The sequence below is a fragment of the Homo sapiens genome, chromosome 12, assembly GCF_000001405.40.
Source record: "Homo sapiens chromosome 12, GRCh38.p14 Primary Assembly".
NCBI lineage: Eukaryota > Metazoa > Chordata > Mammalia > Primates > Hominidae > Homo > Homo sapiens.
Genome location: NC_000012.12, coordinates 43639850 through 43661940, shown reverse-complemented (window position 1 = coordinate 43661940; position 22091 = coordinate 43639850). Strand labels below are relative to the sequence as shown.

The 22091-nt window shown below is 37.1% G+C and overlaps 1 pseudogene; it reads right to left on the bottom strand.

Moving 5' to 3' along the window:
• On the bottom strand, positions 658-2070 carry EEF1A1P17 (eukaryotic translation elongation factor 1 alpha 1 pseudogene 17; annotated as a pseudogene).

Sequence of the window (22091 nt, the reverse complement as noted above, 5' to 3'; positions counted from 1 at the left end):
GAAGCTAAAAGAAAAAATGGGAAGTGAAAAATTAGAGACAAAAATCTAGTTAATTTTTCAAGTCTGGATGGCTAAGGTAGGGAGTAGATGGCAGAGGAAATGACAGGGCTAAGGGAGAGTTTTGAGGAAGGAAGGCAATTGCACATGTTAATGCATGAGGGACAGCCACTGTCAGGGGAGAAGTTAAAAAGAAGGGAGAAGAGAGGTATTCAACAAATACTGTATACATGAATTTCTTTATTCTATTAGTAAAAATTTAGTTACACCAAGAAGCAAATTTTTTGAGCTTTAATTAGAGTTGAAAATCAGAACAGTTATAAAATTATATTTGTTTCTAAAGTTTATGGTGTGTACTCCCCTAAACTACTTTAAAAATCTACTCACATCATTCTTTCTCATCAGATTTCACCCCGGTGGGAAGAGTTTCCTATTTCCTATTCTTGGGGAGAGCTTATGTGAGATTACTATTATTTCTTAAAAAAAAATACATATATATATTATATATATTTCTTAGTAAACTTCATTTTAATGGGTCTCAAAATTCTGTGACAGATTTTTGGTCAAGTTGTTTCCATTAAAAAGTACTAATTTTAAAAACTAATGACTTAAAATGGCCACACACATATAAAAAAAAAGAAAGAAAAAGAAAAAAGAAAACAACAACAAAAACCAAAGTGGTCCACAAAACATTCTCCTTTCCTTCTGAAGGTTTTATGATGCATTGTTATCATTAACCAGTCATTTACTATTAAACTTAAATGGCCAATTGAAACAAACAGTTCTGAGACTGTTCTTCCACCACTGATTAAGACTTGGGTGACAGGTATTAGGGATAATGTTCATTTAGCCTTCTGAGCTTTCTGGGTAGACTTGGTGACCTTGCCAGCTCCAGCAGCCTTCTTGTCCATTGCTTCGATGACACCCACAGCAACTGTCTGTCTCATATCACAAACAGCAAAGCGACTCAGAGGTGGGTAGACTGAGAAGCTCTCAACACACATGGGCTTGCCAGGAACCATATCAACGATGGCAGCATCACCAGACTTCAAGAAAGTAGGGCCATCTTCCAGCTTTTTACCAGAAGTGCTACCAGTCTTTTTCTTCAGCTTAGCAAACTTGCATGCAATGTGAGCCATGTGGCAATCCAGTACGGGAGCACAGCCAGCACTGATTTGGCCTGGATGGTTCAGGATAATCACTGAGCAGTGAAGCCAGCTGCTTCCATTGGTGGGTCGTTTTTGCTGTCACCAGCAACGTTGCCATGATGAACCTCCTTGACAGACACATTCTTGACATCGAAGTCCACATTGTCCCCAGGAAGAGCTTCACTCAAAACTTCATGGTGCATTTCAACAGACTTGACTTCAGTTGTGACATTGACCGGAGCAAAGGTGACTGCCATACCGTTTTTGAGAACACCAGTCTCCACTCAGCCAACAGGAACAGTACCAATACCATCAATTTTGTAGATATCCTGGAGAGGCAGGTGCAAGGGCTTGTCAGTTGGATGAGTTGATGGTAGGATGCATTCCAGAGCCTCAAGCAGCGTGGCTCCACAGGCATTGCCATCCTCATGGGTGATTTTCCATCCCTTGAACCAAGGCATGTTAGCACTTGGCTCCATCATGTTGTCACCATTCCCACCAGAAATTGGCACAAATGTTACTGTGTCAGGTTGTGGACAATTTTCTTAATGTAAGTGCTGACTTCCTTAACGATTTCTTCATATCTCTTCTGGCTGTAGGATGGCTCAGTGGAATCCATTTTGTTAACACCAACAATTAGTTGTTTCACACCCAGTATACAAGCCAGAAGGGCATGCTTTCAGGTTTGCCCATTCTTGGATATACCAGCTTCAAATTCACCAACACCAGCAGCAAAAATCAGGACAGCACAGTCAGCCTGAGATGTCCCTGTAATCATGTTTTTGATGAAGTCTCTGTGTCCTGGGGCATCAATGACAGTCGCGTAGTACTTGCTGGTCTCAAATTTCCACAGGGAGATATCAATGGTGATACAATATTCAAGCTCATCTTTCAGTTTATCCAAGACCCAGGCATACTTGAAGGAAGGTAATTTTAATCGCTTTTTCTTGTTCTTGTATTTTTAATAGTTATTGTAAAATTGAAGCAGTCCAATTTGCTCAGAATTTCTAGGAAGTTATTTTGGACAGTTTGCCACAGCATTTTCTAGTATCTTCAAGCGAAATTAGTGAAGGTTGTTATTTGGATACATTTGAACAAGATAATTTCAAAATAGAGAGAAAGTCATGATGGAAATAAAATATGCAGTTTTAACTTTTGATACCTCTTGTAGGTGAGAGGTGATTATGATTAAGTTTGATTGTTGCCAATGATTTATTAAGATCCTGTTTCCTTTTACAGAAAAGTCTGCCTCACATCAATGGGGTAGAAGGAAAGAAAAAGGAAGTTAAATAGCTACTCTGTTATTTCCAAAGTAAATAATTATGGAGTAAAATGTATGTAACTACCTCAGCCTGTGAAAGGTCAATTACTCCTTTAAACACTTCAGAGGTGGGTACATAATTGTTATATTCCTTGATTCTTATTTTCGTTATTGAGTTAGTATAAGGACAATGCAGCCAATATAGAAATCTTTCTTTTGTTCCAATACTTTTTCCTGTTAGACTCTGGGCAAATTTCTAAAAATATTTGTACCTATCTAAGTAGGATAACTAAATGTCACCACATCTTAGAAGTTTGATTCATTCTGTCAGTCTGCTTGGACTGCAAAAGACAATTATGAGATAAACCAAAACTTTGAATTTGTTTTGTTTGGGAGGCCCTGAAATTTCCAGTTTTTTTTCTGAAGTCATTCATTTTAGTTGAGGGCAAATTCGTATTGTAATTCGAGCCTTTTTCATGGAGACTTTAAGCTTGGCTTTAATTTCCTCACCTGTTGGTTAAGAGTTCATAAAATGTTTGTGTATGTTTGTTTCTGTGATACGAAATAATTCCAGTGTGTTTAAGTTTTCCCAGAACCAGAAACTGTGCATCCTGAGTAGATTTTCAATCTACTGATGGCAAGGAAAAGCAATGATATTAATATGGATTATTTCCCCTCCTCTTTTTCTTTCATCTTATTCTTAAATGTGACCAAACAACATAAACTAACTAAAGTCTTCTAAATGTATAAGACATGTTAGAAATGATAAATCAGTGAGAATGAAAAAAAAGATTTAAAGTTCTCTCCAAGCACAATACTTACTTAATATATACTTATGCAGCATTTACCATGTGCTTGAACTTGTGCTAAACATTTGCAAACATTAGTTCATTTTGAGCTCCTAATACCCAGAGTAGATACTGTTGTTATCATTCACATTTTACATACGAAGAAATGTAGGCATTGAGAGGTTGAGTAACATGGCCAAATTCACAAAACTTCTGGCAATGAAGCTGGGATTCAAGCTCTCCAATCTGTGTTCTTAACTGCCTAGTTATTCTGCCTCTCATTAAGTGGTGATGAGTTGACTGCATTGTTATAAGAAAGAAAATGATGGCCTGGTGAATTTCAGTCTTTATAGTGAGTTCTTCAAATTATGATTTGTGAGTGAACCACTGGCTTCTCTCCCTAATTAAATATTAAGAAATATAAGTGCAGAAACAGTTATCTGATCTATCCTTGTATACTGAATTTCTTAGCAAACTACAAACATAAGTATTTAATCATTGTACTTCAAAGGGAATCTTTTTTGCAGGTAGATGAATAGTCCCAATTATAAACCTTGTATGCCCCCTGAATTAAGCTTTTTACTTCTCAGATTACCTAATTGTTCAGCAATTAGGCTTAGTGTTAGGCCACTGCATTGAATACCTCTAGGAGGTGTCACTCATAGAGCACACATGGCAAATGGCACAACATACCTATACGGCTAAGTGCATTGGCTCTGCTATGTAAGTCAGTATTCTTTGGTCTAAGTCATTAATGATGAATGGCTGCTTCGTTGTAGACAATGTGTGCAAGTAATCCCAAGAAAGTGAACAGAAGTTTTGATAGGGTTAATAGCAGTGATTTAATTCATTCATTCCTTAATTCATTGAGACACTAGAACACAGAGGTTAGGAGCTGGGGTCTAGAGTCAGAATATCTGGACTTAAATCCCAATTCCATATCTTAACTAGCTGATGACCTCTGACAAGTATCTTACTCAAGCCTTCGGAGTTCTCACTTATAAATAAAGATTTTAGTTCCAACCTCTGGGATTTTTGTGATGGCTAAGTAATTATATTACAGAATGTTAAATATTACATTATACTGAAAATTACTTAATCTCCCTGGGCCTATGTTTCCTCATTTATAAATGGAGAAAAGGAGGCAGGAGATAGGGATGTGGGTGAGGCAGGGTAGAGTTGGGGTATGCTGGAGGTGGAAATGAGGGAGGATGAACTGAGCTCAGTGGTTATCAAGGTTTTGAGTTTCACAACCAGTGAATCACATATACCCATATATGTTGTACTGGGGGTTCCCAAGACCATCCTTAGATTTGATGCTTCACTGGAAGGTTTCACAGAACTCAGAAAGCTGTTATACCCATGGTTGCAGATTATTACAGCAGAAAAGATACAGATTAAAATCAGCAAAGGAAAAACACACAGAAATCTAGAGGTAAGCACATGGTTTCAGGTATCTTCTTCAAGTGAAGTTGTAGAAACAGCAGACAGCGCTTAATTCTCTCAGTAACAAGGTGTGACAGCATGTATGGCCAACCAGGAAAACTCACTCCAGCATTTTTGGGGTCAGTCTTGGGGGTCAGTCACGTAGGCATGAGGTGCTGTCATGACTGACCTTAGCTACTCAGTCTCCAGTCCCTCCCAGAGGTCAAACTGATAGAGAATGGCCCTAGGTCCCAGGTGAACAAAAACAGACATTCACCATACATCACATTGTTAGCAGAAACACTTCTGGCATGGCCCAAAGCTCAGGTATAAAATGACATGTTTATTAGGTAGGATATTCCAAGACCTTATGGGTTATCTCTTAGGAGCCAGTCAAGGCCAGCCTTGAAGACAGTTGGAATGCACAGTATTTGAATAGCCCAAGTCCAAGTTAACCCTTTACTGAACAGACATATATACCTATACATATTGCTTTGGTCTAATTCTTCCAAAATTTACGTTGAAACCTAATTCCCATTGTGGTGGCACTAAGAGGTGGGGCCTGTTTGGAAGTAATTAAGTAATGAGGTCTTCACATTCATGAATGGGATTAGTGCCCTGATGAAAGAAATTTAAAAGCAGTTTCCTGGCCCCTCCTGCCACGTGAGATCATAGCATTCTCTGCTGCTGCCATGTGACAATGCAATAATAGGTGCCATCTTTGAACTGCAGAGCAAGCCCTCACCAAACACTGAGTCTGCTAGTGCCTTGATATTGGACTTCCCAGCCTCTAGAACTGTAAACAATGAATTTCTATTTTTATAAATTACTCAGTCTGTGGTAATTTTGTTATAGCAGCCAAATGAACTAAGGCAAATATACATATATGTATGCATACACATAAACAGATACATAAATATATATATATATATGATGTATATAAGATATATGTATATATACATATTTAAGGTTTTGATGAGGCTGGAGTAGAATAAAAAACATTGAATTGCCAACTTTTTAGTTTTGCAAATAAAGCTATTAAATGAACTGTATTCAACTATCACCATTACTTAATAAGACGAAGGTCATTTTTACCAGCAAAAAAGGTAGAGGGACTCAATTGCAGAATACAGATGTCCTTATCACGATAAGACATTCATGCATACATATGCACATATGAATTCACGGAGGAAAAATATTATTAAAATTCATACATTTATAATATAAAGGCTTATTTTATACCACTTCCGTAATTATTTCCTTGAACAATTATCAATTTGGAAATCTATATTTGATTATATATCACAAAGTAGAGTTTATTCATCCAACTGTTTCCTATACTATATTATTTTTTCACAGTTTAACATAGAAAATACTATTTGCAATACATAGATGTGTTGGCAAAAAATAGAAAATAAAACCTATTTTATTTCATTTGGAATATTCTGGGAAAACTAAACTGAAAGTCCAAGCAATGATTGTGCCATACCTTTGGCTGCAGTTTGGATGACTCGCTAGAGCAGCTTGTGGTTAGGAAGCTCAAAGGTTCCCCTTATACTGAACACTGTGAGCTTGAGGGTTGGAGGTGTGTGGGCATTAAGTGCCTCAAAAACAACAGTCCAGAATTTATGTGAGAAGAATGTTTTGGATCAGACCATGAAAAAGTGTTTGGGAACAACTGGGCCAGATGGACTTCTTCAGTCTTAATGTATATTACCTGACTTGTGGAAATACAAATAAGAAAAAAAAAGTGGACGCTGCTTTTAAGAAGTTCGTGATATAGCTACAGAAATAAAACTAATGGGAATGAAACAATACAAAGTAATGAAATGCTAAATAAATGGACTAACTATATAGAGATGAGAATGTCTTAGAATGATGGAATTTTCAGGGAAGATGTGAAATCTGATCTGGACTGTAAAGAACTAGCAGGATTTGCACAAGTAGAAGGAGAGAGCTTTCCAGGTGGGAGAAAGAGAAGGACCTGAGGCCTAGAGGAGGGATTAGTCATAGACCATGCCAGCACCAGTGGTGGCCCCAGCAGCTTAAGTGGAATTCAGTCTTATTTTTAATTTTTTTAAAGAGAGTCTTGCTCTGTCACCCAGGCTGGAGTGCAGTGGTGCCATCAATATGGTTTAATGCTAATTGTGCACTTTTTAATGAAAATAGTTTTATTAAAATATGTTATGAACAGATATGATCTTATACTTTGGTTTTAGAGCAGCAAAGCCATGGTTTTATTAAAATATGATGAGCACATTGAACTCACTTGCACTATTTGCATACTTGTAATATTTGTGGATTATTAATTTCAAAATAAATCAAATAGTTGGTTATGCAACTTAAAAGATAGATAATAACAAAGAAATAACACAATGGAATCCACAATGGAGTTAAGTTTACCAAGTGATTTTACTTATATTGGATACACCATCCCTTAAAAGAGAAAAGAACTAATGTGTCAAGTAGAAAACATGCATTTCACTACATAGTAGCTCTCTGAACATGGGCAACTTACCTAAATTCTAAACTTCAGCTTCTTTAAATAGGGGTTCATTGCAACCTCTGCCTCCTGGGTTCAAGCGATTCTTGTGCCTCAGACTCCCAAGTAGCTGGATTACAGGCATGTGCTACTGCACCTGAGAGACAGGGTCTCGTCACGTTGGCCAGGGCGGTCTTGAACCCCTGGCCTCAAGTGATCCGCCTGCCTCGGCCTCCCAAAATGCTGGAATTACAGGTGTGAACCACCATGCCCAGCCCAGAACTCAGTCTTATAAAAGAATAAAAACATTGACTTCCTAGTGGAGGACCAAATGAGGCAAGTCTAGAAAGCTAGGCAGTAGAGTTGGACTATGAATTGTGCAGACAAGACATACAGATTTATGAGGGGGCGAACATCTGTAATTTATTGAGCAAATGTATATTGAGTACTACTGTGTGTCAGATGCTGTGTATAGTACCTGTAAGTAGTGACTATGTCAGATGTAATCGGTGCTGCTAAATGTTTAACAATAAGCCCCTGGGGGAAAATATGCCCTGATTCATAGTGTTTGCTGATGTCTATGGTATAAATGCACCCACAATGGACAATTTAAAGTTATCAACATGACTTCCCTGAAGGCAGTGTTTGAGAAGACATGTGCACAATCCACTTTCTCCAGCTGGTGAGAGCCAGGTCCAGCACACCAGTGGATAATCCCAGGCATCGTAAATCTGAAAAGTGATATCTCTGGGAGAGCCATCTAGCAGTATTGTTGAGGGTAATTGGTAGAGGGAGGAGATAACAGCCTAAGGTTATTTGCTGTACCAGGCACACAGCAATAAAGGCTGCGCTGGAGTGTTAGCAGTGAAAATGGGGAGAAAATTGTGGATAATGGAAATATTTTAAGGGAAGAAAGAGTGAGACTTGCAAAAGTAGCTGTGGGTGATGAAGGAAAAGTCAAAGATTGACTTCAGCAATACTACTGAATTCAGTAGTCAGGGAGGCCTATTATTAGAAATAGTATGGTTGGTGTTATAGTTCTCCACTCCCATGACCTTTCACCCTAGCAGCTGAGGTTCTTTTGCTTCTTTTAAAAACTTAATCCTATCCCATGCCCTGGGACTAATCCTGGACCATGCAAAGGAAGTTCTTAAAAACTTTACTAGAGGCAGCTGTGTGATAAGATGAAATGAGTCGTGGGTTCAGGAATTGAAGGTTTGGTTTTTAAACCCTGGCTCAGCTACTTGCTAGTAACCTGACCTTGAATAGTTTGCTTTCAGCTATTAGCCTTTAGTTTCCTCATCTGAAAAGTTAGGACTATAATGATGGACATTTCACCTTCACATATACTATCTCATTTAATCCTCAAAACAGCTTGTACAGAAGACCATTCAAGTCCTATTAATGCCCTATATTACTCACAAGGAAAATGTAAGTCAGAGGATCTTGATGACTTGCCCAGGACTCATAGCTAGTGATAGAAACAGAAATGCAGATGCGTTGATAGCAAATATTAATGATCGTTATGATTTTTTGTATCCTTCCTATATGCGAGGGACTTTATATGTGCTATAAGCACTTTACTTATGTTACCTCAATTATTCTTACAATCACATTGTGAATTATCACCTCTGTTTAAAGAAGCTGAAGTTTAGAATTTAGATAAGTTGCCCATGTTCAGAGAGCTACTATGTAGTGAAATGCATGTTTTCTACTTGACACGTTAGTTCTTTTCTCTTTTAAGGGATGGTGTATCCAATATAAGTAAAATCACTTGGTAAATTTAACTCCATTGTGGATTCCATTTTGTTATTTCTTTGTTATTATCTATCTTTTAAGTTGCATAACCAACTATTTGATTTATTTTGAAATTAGTAATCCACAAATATTACAAGTATGCAAATAGTGCAAGTGAGTTCAATATACTCACCATATTTTAATAAAACCATGGCTTTACTGCTCTAAAACCAAAGTATAAGATCATATATGTTCATAACATATTTTAATAAGACTATTTTCGTTAAAAAGTGCACAATTATCATTAAAATTAAAATTAATATTAAATTGATAAAATCAAAATCTTAAGGATAAGACTATTTTGCATCTTAACATGTGTATTACAACCAAAATTTCACATTACATGAAGTTATTTATGTGTTTGTGGGAGCTATGAATTTTTTAAAATGTGGAAAACTGATTCCAAAAATAAATAAATTAATTTAAACACAATTAGTAGACAGTTGGGTTCAATTCCCTTCAGAGAAAGTATTTCTAGGCAGTGCCTGAAGAAAATGCCATGATCAAGGCCATGTAAACCTCCAGGATCCAAGAACATACTTGAGATATTTCAGAAAATTATATTTCAGTCGCTTAATTAAAAGTTTTTCCTATAACTCTTATTAAAAATAAATTCAAAAGTATGGACAATTATAAGTCTATTTTAAACATTACAAATGATTGGAAATAAATAGGTAAGCTCGGCAAATTCCTTCCTTTTCTTGGGATATTGGGCAAAATTGCTCTATGGTATAAGGCCAGATTTATAATGTAGTCTCTGAAGGTTCAACCTATGTATTGTTATTCCAATGCCTTTAATTAGAATTACTCTTTCATCATGCCACTGAAATAGCTTTATTTGATCTATTTGGTCAGAATTAATGAAAACTTCTGATGGATAGAGAAGTGTTAATACAGCATGTTTTACTCCCTAGATAACTTCTGCAAAATGCTGCTAGAAAAAGAAGTTATTCCAATATATCTGTAAGGTTTTCCAACTGTGTGTTTGATAAAATTAGAGAAAAATATTTAAAAGGAACTAAGTAGAGTTCATCTACTTGAAAATCAGTTATATTCAAAATGCTCATTACGGCATGGTGTATTGAGTTGTCCACTTTGCGGCAAAATAGAGGTTGAATTTCATGACTCTGCACTGGAACAGAAGGAAAGTAGAACCCATCACTGGAGAAGAAAGGTTGTAAAGTAGAGAACTTTTGAAGGAACACAGAATTTGTTTAGTGCCAGACTCCTCTTCTGTATAAAGCCTGCCATCTACCAAAGAGCTGGACTGGAAAAAAATTCATAAAAGAGACATTGAGTAGACAGATAGTGATCTTCCTAGGGTTTTGTATATGGATCTTGGCCTTAGTATAACGCTGCAACTCTCTTTACCATATCGGTTCTCTCTTCTGAGCCAGCATTAGATGCTCTTCTGGTTTTCATGCCAGTAAATAATCCCCTAATTTATTTGATTGAATACATCTATGTAGTATCTTCTTTTTAAAAATTGCACAAATATTTTCATAAAAACAATAAATTATAGAAATCATACAGAATACTATCATTATTCCACTTTCCATAATTCTCTTTGAGACTGTTTAAATCTAAACCAAATATTCTTCAGACTCTAAAATTAACTTCTAGAATTGTAATCTTATCTTACACAATGAAATATTTCCTTAAATAATATTTTCTCCATAATTTAAATGAAAAAAAAAAATGAAACTGGTGAAATGCTGTGATTCTGACCTCTGCCTATATCTCAGGTACCCCAGGAACCCATGTGGAATGTTTATTAGGAAGTATTCTTGGAAGGGACGTGATGGAAGCAAGATTGGGCATAGGGAGAAGTGGAGCTGTGATGTGATCCCAGTGAAGGTCTCAGCCAACACATGGGGAGCTCTGGATCTAAGAGGGTCATTCCAATTATTCTGAGTTGTGGCTGGGGCTGGCTGTTATACCCCATGTAAATTAATTATTGGATATGATCTGATCTTGGAAGGAGATGAAACTTTGGGGGAGGCAATTTTCTGGAGCCATGACATTCCAGCTAAAGAAGGCTGATAATTGAGGGCTGTTTTCAGGCCATATTTCCAGCAGATGGGAAATAAGCCCTTCCTCCTTGAAGAGGGACCTAAATGTCCATAACAATCCATCTTTGGTTTCATTTATTCTCCCTGATGTTCAGTAAGAGTGAAGATAATCCAAGCAAGTGGCCAATTACTTAAACTCACAGAATTAGAGATATTCTGAATTAGAGATATTCCATGGCAGTAATAGATTTGGTTCAACTTTTCTCCAGTAACACATGTCTATCATCATAGTTGGATTGATACTTGGGAAATAAAGCGAAAAAACAGATGGGAATAAAATACTGACTGTACAGTTTACTTTATCACCATAAAATTCCAGATGCCTATGGATTGATGAAGAATGGGATAAGATGAAGAGGTATTTTTTTTTTATAAGATAAACTCTTGTAACAGAAAGCCAAGTGATGTTTTTCCTGTTTTCCTCAAATTTCTGCTAAGGTAAAAAACTGAAACAAAAGTTTCTAAGATATGAAACAAAAGTTTCTAAGCTCTGTATATTCTACATTGAAGGAGCTTCCAGAAATTAATTTAGCTATCTTCCTGCAGATCTTAATTAATTACATAGCTAACCCTGTCACCAACAACCACTTTCACCCCCTCTTCCTCAAACCCAAGTGAAAGAAGGGTCATCATCAGTCTTTTGGAGATAGTAGTGTCCATGCAGAGAGGCGAGAGGGAGGGAGCTGTTTGTAATCCTCAGTATCAAGGAGGGTTGTTTTAAGATAATCACTTACACAAGGTTAAGGATGCAGCAAAGGGAGGTGGGAAGCTTGTTCCCCAGTAGGAAATCAGCTCATCAGCAGTTTTGCTGATTTGGGTCTGCACTACCTGAACAGGGGAGGGAAGAATTGGAGAGAGATGTGAGGCTCACAGCAGCATGATGCCCTCACTCTCACTTTTTGGCTTGGCAAGAATATGTGAGTTTCTCACAGAGGAGAGCTGGTCTTGGCCTGTGTTGCTGATACCTAAGCTGGATGAAGAACCTCAGCAGCAAAAGGCTGCAAACAATCTTCCTTTGGTGGGGAGCTGATTTTCTACTTCAGAGAACTGTTTAGTGGTAAGGACCCTGGAGGAGCCAGCTTTTGGATACCTGCCACACTGAGGTCATTGAGAACCAATGTTGGGCAGTGAAAGGGTGACGTCTCCAAAGAGGGCCCACTATGGGAAGCCATGTGAGGTTTCCATAAGCCAGACACTTTTCAAGCTCATCCACCCTTCTCAGTTCTGAAAGTTGAGCTTCAACGGGTCACTGTCCAGTAATGGAAGCATGGCCACGAGATTCTACTGTTCCACGATAGTCTCCTAGTTTGTCGGTTTTTACTTTGCCTGGCAGAGCTTACTTTACAAGTGGAAAGTTCTCCCTGATTGCAGCTGGAGGAAGAATGCCTGGATTTATATAAACTCTACATTGCTAATTGTACAGTCCTTTGGTAGTTTAGTGAATGATTCTGTGCCTCAGTTTTCTTAACTGTTATTTGGGGATAATAAAAATGTAATGTTATGGGGTTGTTGTGAAGTTTAAGTGCACATAGTTTATATAAATCATTCAGTCTAGAGCCTGTACTATTGTATAACCTCAGTAGATATTCACTGTTAATGAGTGCAGTCACAGCTTGTCATTTTTTTTTAAGTGAAAGCAAGTTTATTAAGAAAGTAAAGGAATAAAAGAATGGCTACTCCATAGACAAAGCAGCCCCGAGGGCTGCTGGTTGCCCATTTTTATGGTTATTTCTTGGTGATAAGGTAAAAAAAAAAAGGGTGGATTATTCATGCCTCCCTTTTTAGACCATATAGGGTAACTTCATGACGTTGCCATGGCATTTGTAAACTGTCATGTGCTGGTGGGAATGTGGCAGTGAGGACAACCAGAGGTCACTCTCATGGCCATCTTGGTTTTGGTGGGTTTCAGCTGGCTTCTTTACTGCAGCCTGTTTTATCAGCAAGATTTTTTATGACCTATATCTTGTGTTGACCTCCTGTCTTATCCTGTGACTTAGAATGCCTTAACCATGTGGGAATACAGCCCAGTAGGTCTCAGACTCATTTTATCCCATCCCTATTCAACATGGAGTTACTCTGGTTCAAATGCCTCTGACACTACTGGCCATTTGATCTAATTTTAACCTACTCTTCTATCTTCTCTGGCCTTTAAAGAGTGACTAACGTTCTAGGACTCTAGAATATCCAGTCTCGGAGAATAGGTATCAAGTTATCTTTCTGAGGGCCACAAGGTCATTTAGGACATCACAAACCATTACCATGTTTCTGGAAGTAATTTGTAATTGTGTAATAATATTTATCAAATGGTTAGCATTCTAGGAGGCAAAACTTTTAGATTTCCATAAGGAAAACAGCTCTATTGAATAAGCATTGCAGAGTGGCAGAGAGCACAGCCTCATAAATGAAGTTACTCTGCTTCTTTATTTGTCTATGAAGTTAGGGACCATTTCTATGGTTCATCACAGCTTGTCATTTCACTGTTTTATATTGGACTCTGCCATGAATCTGCAGCACACGTAGTTGGGACTCTGGTGATATCCTTCTCAACCTTTGTGAGGTAACTGAACCTGTTTTCTATCTGGATTTCCTGCTATTGGCTAAGTTCATGATTCAAATCAAATGCCTGACATTGCCATTGTCTTGGCTTAGACAAATGACTCTCAAATATCAGGGTAATTAAACACCATTTGGAGGAGCTTCTAAAAATACGTGTCTTCATATTTTACTGACAGAAATTCTAATTCAGTAGATCTGGGGTTGAGCTCAGAAGGTGGTCTATAGATGACACTTTTTTTTTTTTGAGTCTTGCTCTGTCACCCAGGCTAGAGTGCAATGGTGTGATCTCCGCTCACTGCAATCTCTGCCTCCTGGGTTCAAGAGAGTCTCCTGCCTGAGCCTCCCAGGTAGCTAGGATTACAGGCATGTGCCACCCCAGCCAGCTAATTTTTGTATTTTTTAGTAGAGACAGGGTATCTCCATGTTGGCCAGGCTGGTCTTGAACTCCTGGCCTCAAGTGATCCACCTGCCTCAGCCTCCAAAAGTGCTGGGATTACAGGCATGAGCCACCGCGCCTGGCCAGATCACACTTCTTTGAACAGTGTCCTAGAGCAGAATTGTAGAATTCTGTTGGGACTCACTCATTATCAAGCACCAATTTGGATATTGATGTTAGCCTGGAGTTAACATCAATATGCTCAATATTTATTGAGCATCTACAACATGCTCAGAATTTGCCTGTATTTACTTATTTTTATATCCCAAGCAGCTAGCACTCAATTATTGACTGATTAAATAAACACATGATGGGATAAATTCTCTGATAGGAGCAAATAAAGGGCAAAATGCAACTGGTCTTAGAAGGTCAGAGAAGTTTCCTTCAGAGAAAGTGTTAATAAACGGTATTCTGAAGAATGAACAAAGGTGAGCCATGTGAATAGGTGGTGCGTGAAGAGTGATCTGGTAAGTGTTTGGTCTATGGCATGGAGGCTGAAATATTTGGTTGTCATGAGTGTACAGATAACGACGAAGCCAAAATAGTGAAGAATATGACTTAGGGGGAGTGCATAGTGTAATAGGTTAAAAAAAAAGGCTGGGCCGGGTGCGGTGGCTCAAGCCTGTAATCCCAGCACTTTGGGAGGCTGAGGCAGGTGGATCATGAGGTCGAGAGATCGAGACCATCTGGCTAACATGGTGAAACCCCGTCTCTACTAAAAATACAAAAATTAGTTGGGCATGGTGGCATGCGCCTGTAGCCCCAAGCTACTCAGGAGGCTGAGGCAGAAGAATTGCTTGAACCTGGGAGTCAGAGGTTGCAGTAAGCTGAGCTCGCGCCACTGCACTCCAGCCTGATGACAGAGCAAGACTCCATCTCAAAAAAAAAAAAAAAAAAAAAAAAAAAAGGCCAAGAACAGACTTCTGAGATGATAAGAGACATAACCATACCTTGAGTTAATGGATTTCTCCTTTTCATTTTATTACATCCTGTTCTAACAGGAAATTCTCAATGCAGCTAAATTTTTAAATGAGCAGTGATCTTTACCGTCATTCTTACTTCTTATTTAATGGGAAATGTATTTGAGAATTTTATCAATAGTCATATATTAAAGGTGAAGTCCACTTCCAGCGAGCCAGAAAACAAAATTCTTAATTATGGTTCGTGCAAGCTTAGCCTCCTTTGGACAGGATATAACAGTATATGAGTGGAATGTTCACAGATCCCATGTAAGATGTTGGCCAGGTATTTCCCTGCTCACTTTTTTCTGCTGCTCACTTTTTCCACTTTTTCTAGATGGTCAAGTAACACTTGATGCTCAGACTTATAAGCATGGACTACTTAGCTGGAATAGCATTTGAGAAATATTTTTTAGCTGTAATTTAGAATCTGATGAAAGCTAAGGAAGGGATTCACCCAATGCATGTGACTTCCTCCTCTCCAGGCTCCCTAATTTGTCATCCAAAAACCCTATAATCCATCACCTCCCACAACTGTGGGGAGAGTATGAATGAAGTTGATAAGGTAAGAACAGAGATGGGGTAAGAAGGAAACTCTGGCTGAGGGAGGGAACTTGAACCTGAATCCAAGATCCCAAGTAGGTAAACAAAATGTAGGCTCCTGTGGGCTCTGAAAATTGAAACCAGAGGCTTTCTTCTGCCAAGCACTCTTCTGCAAGTCTCCTACCAGTGAACAACTTAGAGGTGTCAATATGTCATACATAAAAATACTTACATGTGAATTGATACTCCATATTAAACACCTGCTATGGTATCAGATATTAGCAGGGGTATTGAAGACAAGGTCCTTCCCTCCAGGAGCTTACATTCTAGTTGTGTGTCCTTTATACTGGAGATTGCATGCAAACCACTCTGAGCTGAATCCACCCTGCTAGATTTGTTTTGTATAATCCTCACAGTGTTTTAATAAAATCTTAAATTCATTGGCTACACTTAAAAAGTTTTTGCATGAAAATTTGGATTTCTCTGTTGTCTTGAAAAATCAGAAAGTCTGGCAATTCTAGACAAAACATTTATTCATGGCAAAAATCCATGTCATGAATGGGAGCCATGAAGCAACTGTCCCTTTAAGGTGAGGCAAGCCCTCCAGTGCCCATTCCTCGGGTAATACATCTGTCTAGCATCTGTAGACTTATGAGTTTGTAACTCTTACTCTGCCTCTCAGGCACTGTAAAAACCCTTCTTCAGCAGTCCCCAGGTTGCAGTGTTCAAACCTTTTCATGCAGGAATTCCAAAGGTACAGCCTATCCCACTCCAAGACTCCAGTTCCTCCAAAATATTGTCCAGGAATGCTCTAGTTGTAAAGGTGTCCTCAGGACCTCCTTGCAGGCCAGATCTTCTCAGGTGACCAAATTTTTCTACACTTGAGTGAGAGTTTTTCAAAAAATTTGTCAAAACAAAAATGGCATTCCTAGCTGAACATCTATATACCTAAGAGAGGTGATGTGAGTCTTTACAAAACAAGAAAGATCTATCTCTTTAAAGTTACTTATCTTCTACTTGGAATAATGGAACCCATAGACCCAACACTTTCATCACTATAGAAGATCGCTTAAATGAGTCTTCACCAAACAAAGTTATAAATCTATTCTCTCCTGTGTGACCCTATTAATTACTTGCTACACATATGGGAAGACAATTAGAACACAATGAGGAAAGTATTTTGAAGATATGAGCCTGATATTTGAAATTTAGTCAATAACCTTTAATAAACTCATGACCCAATTAATAAAATAGTGTATATTTTCTCCCAAAATTATCAACTTTAAACATTAAAACTCATGGAATCTTCCCTGAAAATGATACAGCATTGAAAATTCTTGTTCAACTTAAAATACTTATACCTCAACCATTTGCCGTAACCCAGTTTTTCATTGCTAGGTGAGGTACTTTTTTTTTTCCACATTAGAAAGTACCAACTCGAAGATATACATGTCCTTTTAGTTCATATTTTATAGTATAATATTATACAACAATAGAACTATGAAAGTCTTTAAAGATCATCCAGTACAGCCAAAGTATTTCATTTGTGCACATTAAACCCTTGACAGCTGTTTTTAGACCTAGTTGCATTTTGCTAGTATCCATTGTGTTGCCAGGCTTTGATCTAGAGGATTCCTTATCTGTGGTCTACAGAAAATGAATTAAAAATCATGGCCTTTCATCTACTGTGAGCTTAGCCTTGTGAATCATTTGCTTAGCCCTGCTCCTTTTTAGAAGATGTGTTGTTTCTCTCACTGGTTCCTGGTAAGAATCCTTTTTTTTCTTGATGAACCAATTCCTTTATCCCTTTCTACAAAAGGGCCCAGCAGATGTCACTTCACATTTGTCAAGCCTAAACCACATAATCTTTTTAGCATGGGATATTTTATAATATCTTCCTGTAGCTTTTTCTTTACTATCTTTAATTAATCCCCCAAATTGCTAAGTAGTTGAACTACATGATCAAAAAAACACTGGGGAAACCTTGGGAAGAGGGCCCAAACTCCATTTATATCTCATTTCCATATATGGAAATGAGGATTTGGGGCAGCTTACTCAATTGTCTGAATTAACTCTATAATTTGAGAACTTATAGTGGCCTTACTTTAAACATAACTACAAAATTTCACTACATATCATACTTGGATGTCAAAAAAAATTAATTTTGAAATCCATAAGATTTCGATATTTAAGTTGCTCTCTTAATAATACTGTAAGACAGTGAAATATTATCATAAGACAGTTAATATTTTTATAAGGCAGTACTTGATAATACTATAAGATTCTCTATCATGGTGCCATTAAAGAAGAGAAGTTGAAAAATAATTTTCCTTGTCTTGGGCATAGTTCTATTATGCTGTTATTCAATATTTGATCTAAATTCTTATTAAAACAAGTTTAAAACCTGTAGTTAATACTCTAATTGTTCCCTAGGAGAATATTTAATTTGTTCATATATTCACAAGAATTAAAAATATATATTTCCTAGAAAGCCACAAATTTAAAATAATTCTGTAATTCAAAGTTTAAAATTGGTCTGCTTTAAAAATAATAGTAATCTGTTCCAAATATCAATTGACTTCTTAAAATGTTAGTGTTATTTTCTTAAACAAAAGCTTCAGAGCCAATTTGTTCATCAAATATACAGCTCATCAGTTTGACTTTGAAATAACAAATTAATATGTCTCTTTCTAAAATCACTGTATAGGTAATACATTTTTCCTCTGTAACTCATGAGTTCTATGCACAAACTACTAAAGGAAATATACAAATTTTATTTCTGAAATTATATTGAACTTGATTTTATAGGAATGACACATGAAAACAGCCTATATCAGGTAACTAACAACCTAAAATTAACCAATGCAAATCTGAAATAGACACCTTTGAAAAAGCTATAAAAACTTAATTCCTGCATAATTATATTTGGCTCTCTGTGTCTTAGTTGAGGTTGTTATTGCTAGTTTCATAATTAACTTATATCCATTCCATATTTTAGCCTTAGCTGAAAGTAAAATTTTCTCATCAAATTATTAATTACTAAATGTAGGGAGTTAAAAGGAAATGTTGACAACTTATAATTTAATCATCCCAGAACTAATAGTTCTGATATAATTGAAGGCTAGTTTAATCCAACCATTCTACAAAATTTCTCAGTTTAATTTAAAAAGTATGTTTATTTTGTGGTTCGTTTCATTAGAAAGGCTCTCTTTGTTTTGCTCTGGTGCAATTAAATATTTCTCCAGGAATATATATTATTACCAATGTGCTGATGTCAGAACACAAGGCAAAGTTTGTTAAAACCCTCAGAAAATCAGAACATTTAAGATGTCTACAAGTATTTTGACTACTGACATTTACTGAGTTGAAGAATTCCATGTGATTTATTCTTTTCTGAAGTGTAGATGTTAGAATAAGGCTTTTCTGAAGTTTATGAAATTTTCTATAAACAGATTGACCTGTGTCTTTTTGTAAGGACTTATTGTATAATAGTCAACTGCTATTAATTTAGAAAAATTATTTGTTTATTACTGTTACTATCCAAATAGTTTTAATGAATTAACGTTTGAGAGAAGACAAATATCCTTATGTGCAATACAAAATTATTTGAGATTCTCTTTGTATGGATTAAGCTGATGATTCCCTGTGCTTTGCCAGTCTTTCAGGGCTTTCTATAGTCTGATTCATGGGCTAGATCAGCATTTCCACATACTTCTGCATAGTTTAGCTCTTACCTTCCTTTTAAGCATTCAGCATTAACGTTCAATATGTACCAGAAATTTCTGCTGAGTCCAGGGAGTCTAGTCTACTAGGAGAGTGAGTATTAGGACTGATGGAGTTCTAAGTGGAAGTTGTTTTCTAGGGTCTATCTGAAGCCTGGGTTAATACTAGTCCTAAAAGTCCTCAGCTTCTGATGGCATCATGCAACCTGACTTCAAACTACACTATAAGGCTACAGTAAACAAAACAATATGGTACTGGTACCAAAACAGATATACAGACCAATGGAACAGAACAGAGGCCTCAGAAATAACACCACACATCTACAACCATCTGATCTTTGACAAACCTGGCAAAAACAAGCAATAGGGAAAGGATACCCTATTTAATGAATGGTGTTGGGAAAACTGGCTAGCCATAGGCAGAAAACTGAAACTGGACCCCTTCCTTACACCTTATACAAAAATTAACTCAAGATGGACTAAAGACTTAATTGTAGGACTTAAAACCATAAAAACCCTAGAAGAAAACCTAGGCAATACCATTCAGGATATAGGCATGGGCAAATACTTCATGACTAAAACACCAAAAGCAATGGCAACAAAAGCCGAAATTGACAAATGGGATCTAATTAATCTAAAGAGCTTCTGTGCAGCAAAAAAAAATCTATCATCAGAGTGAATGGGAAACCTACAGAGTGGGAGAAAATTTTTGCAATCTACCCATCTGATAAAGGGCTAATATCCAGAATCTACAAGGAACTTAAACAAATTTACAAGAAAAAAACAACCCCATCAAAAAGTGGGCCAAGGATATGAACAGACACTTCTTAAAAGAAGACATTTATGTGGCCAACAAACATACAAAAAAAAAAAAAAGCTTATCATCACTGGTCATTAGAGAAATGCAAATCAAGACCACAATGAGATACATACCATCTCATGCCAGTTAGAATGATGATCATTAAAAAGTCAGGAAACAACAGATGCTGGAGAGGATGTGGAGAAATAGGAATGCTTTTACACTGTTCATGGGAGTGTAAATTAGTTCAACCATTGTGGAAGACAGTGTGGCAATTCCTCAAGGATCTAGAATCAGAAATACCATTTGACCCAGCAATCTCATTACTGGGTATATACCCAAAGGATTATAAATCATGCTGTTATAAAGACACATGCACACGTATGTTTATTGCAGCACTATTCACAACAGCAAAGACTTGGAACCAACCCAAATGTCCACCAATGATAGACTGGATAAAGAAAATGTGGCACATGTACACCATAAAAAAGAATGAGCTCATGTGCTTTGCGGGGACATGGATGAAGCTGGAAACCATCATTCTCAGAAAACTAACACAGGAACAGAAAACAAAACACTGCATGTTCTCACTCATAAGTGGGAGTTCAACAATGAGAACATATGGACACAGGGACGGGAACATCACACACCGGGGCCTGTCAGTGGCTGGGGGGCTAGGGGAGGGATAGCATTAGGAGAAATACCTAATGTATCTACATTAGGTTGACGGGTGCAGCAAACTACCATGGCACATGTATACCTATGTAACAAACCTGCACATTCTGCACATGTATCCCAGAACTTAAAGTATAATTAAAAAAAAAAAAAAAAAGGAAAAAGGAAAAAAAAAAGTCCTCAGCTTCCCTGAAATCAGTCTTGAAAGTCCCACAGAGCCTTCAAGGACTCTGGGTTCAGGATCACCACAGATGAACTTCTTCTAGGGAGGTAAGAATTGATCTCATTCTTCTGTGAGGACTGAGGAAGTGTTAAGGAGTGATCAGTGTCCATTAGCATGAAGTCCCTAGACTTGACCTAACTGCTGCTTTGACCTTAGAGCCTGGAGGCAAGGAGAGTTCTGATGAGCCTCAGGAATGCTACCAAAATAAGTAACATATTGGAACTTTCTCTCTCTCAGCACTCTCTGATACTTTCCAAGTTGAAGAGTGGTACCAACCCACATTTGGCATTAACCATTTTATATTATCAACTCTTTAAAACCTCAGCATATATGTACAATGATAACACACACATGTTCATGCCATATATTTTTATATTTATTAGATTATATATGCAAATATACTCTAAGAATATTCACTTAGAGACAAAATGCCTGTGTATAAAAATGTCAGTCTAACCTGAGGATTAAGTAATTTTTTATTGTTAAAAATGTATATATTTTTATTATACATGTATGAGAGAGAAAAAGAGAGATAGAGAACATGGAGGAGGGAAGAAAGGAGAGGAAAAGAGAGAGAGCTTATGTGCTGACTACATTTATGCAAATACAATCAAAACGTGTTACAACTTGAAAGGACATTCATGGCCTTCTTATCCAACTCCTTTATTTTCTAGTATAGGCGAAAAGCTCCAGAATGGTTTGTGATCTGGTAATATCTTTATTCTCTTTGATCTATTAATTTGGGAAAATTTCAGTGACTATAAAAATAGGAACACTAAAAAAAAAAAAAGAAATGATCAAAGCAAATTAGGGATATAACTTTACCACTGAACGATTTAAAATTCAGTAAGAAGGTCTTGTGCATTTATATTAACATTGCCTACATATAATATACTTGTCTCATCTTCCTGTTTGGCCAGCAAGCTTATTTAGAGCAGAGATAATGCCTTCTCTACAGCCTGTGAACCTACTCTGTGACTCTGTGCAGTGCTACATCATTCATAGCCAATCACTCTAGAGTGAAGGATAAATAATGACTTTTTAGGAAACAAAGACCAAGGGTCTACTTTTTCTGACTTGTTCTGAAAATACACTTCTACTTTCAAGCTTCTGTGAATTTTGTTCCTGCTTTTTCTTCACTTACACTCTTCCCCTCTTTTCCTTCTATATTTTTGTCAAAACACTGCTGATTTTTCAACGTACAATGC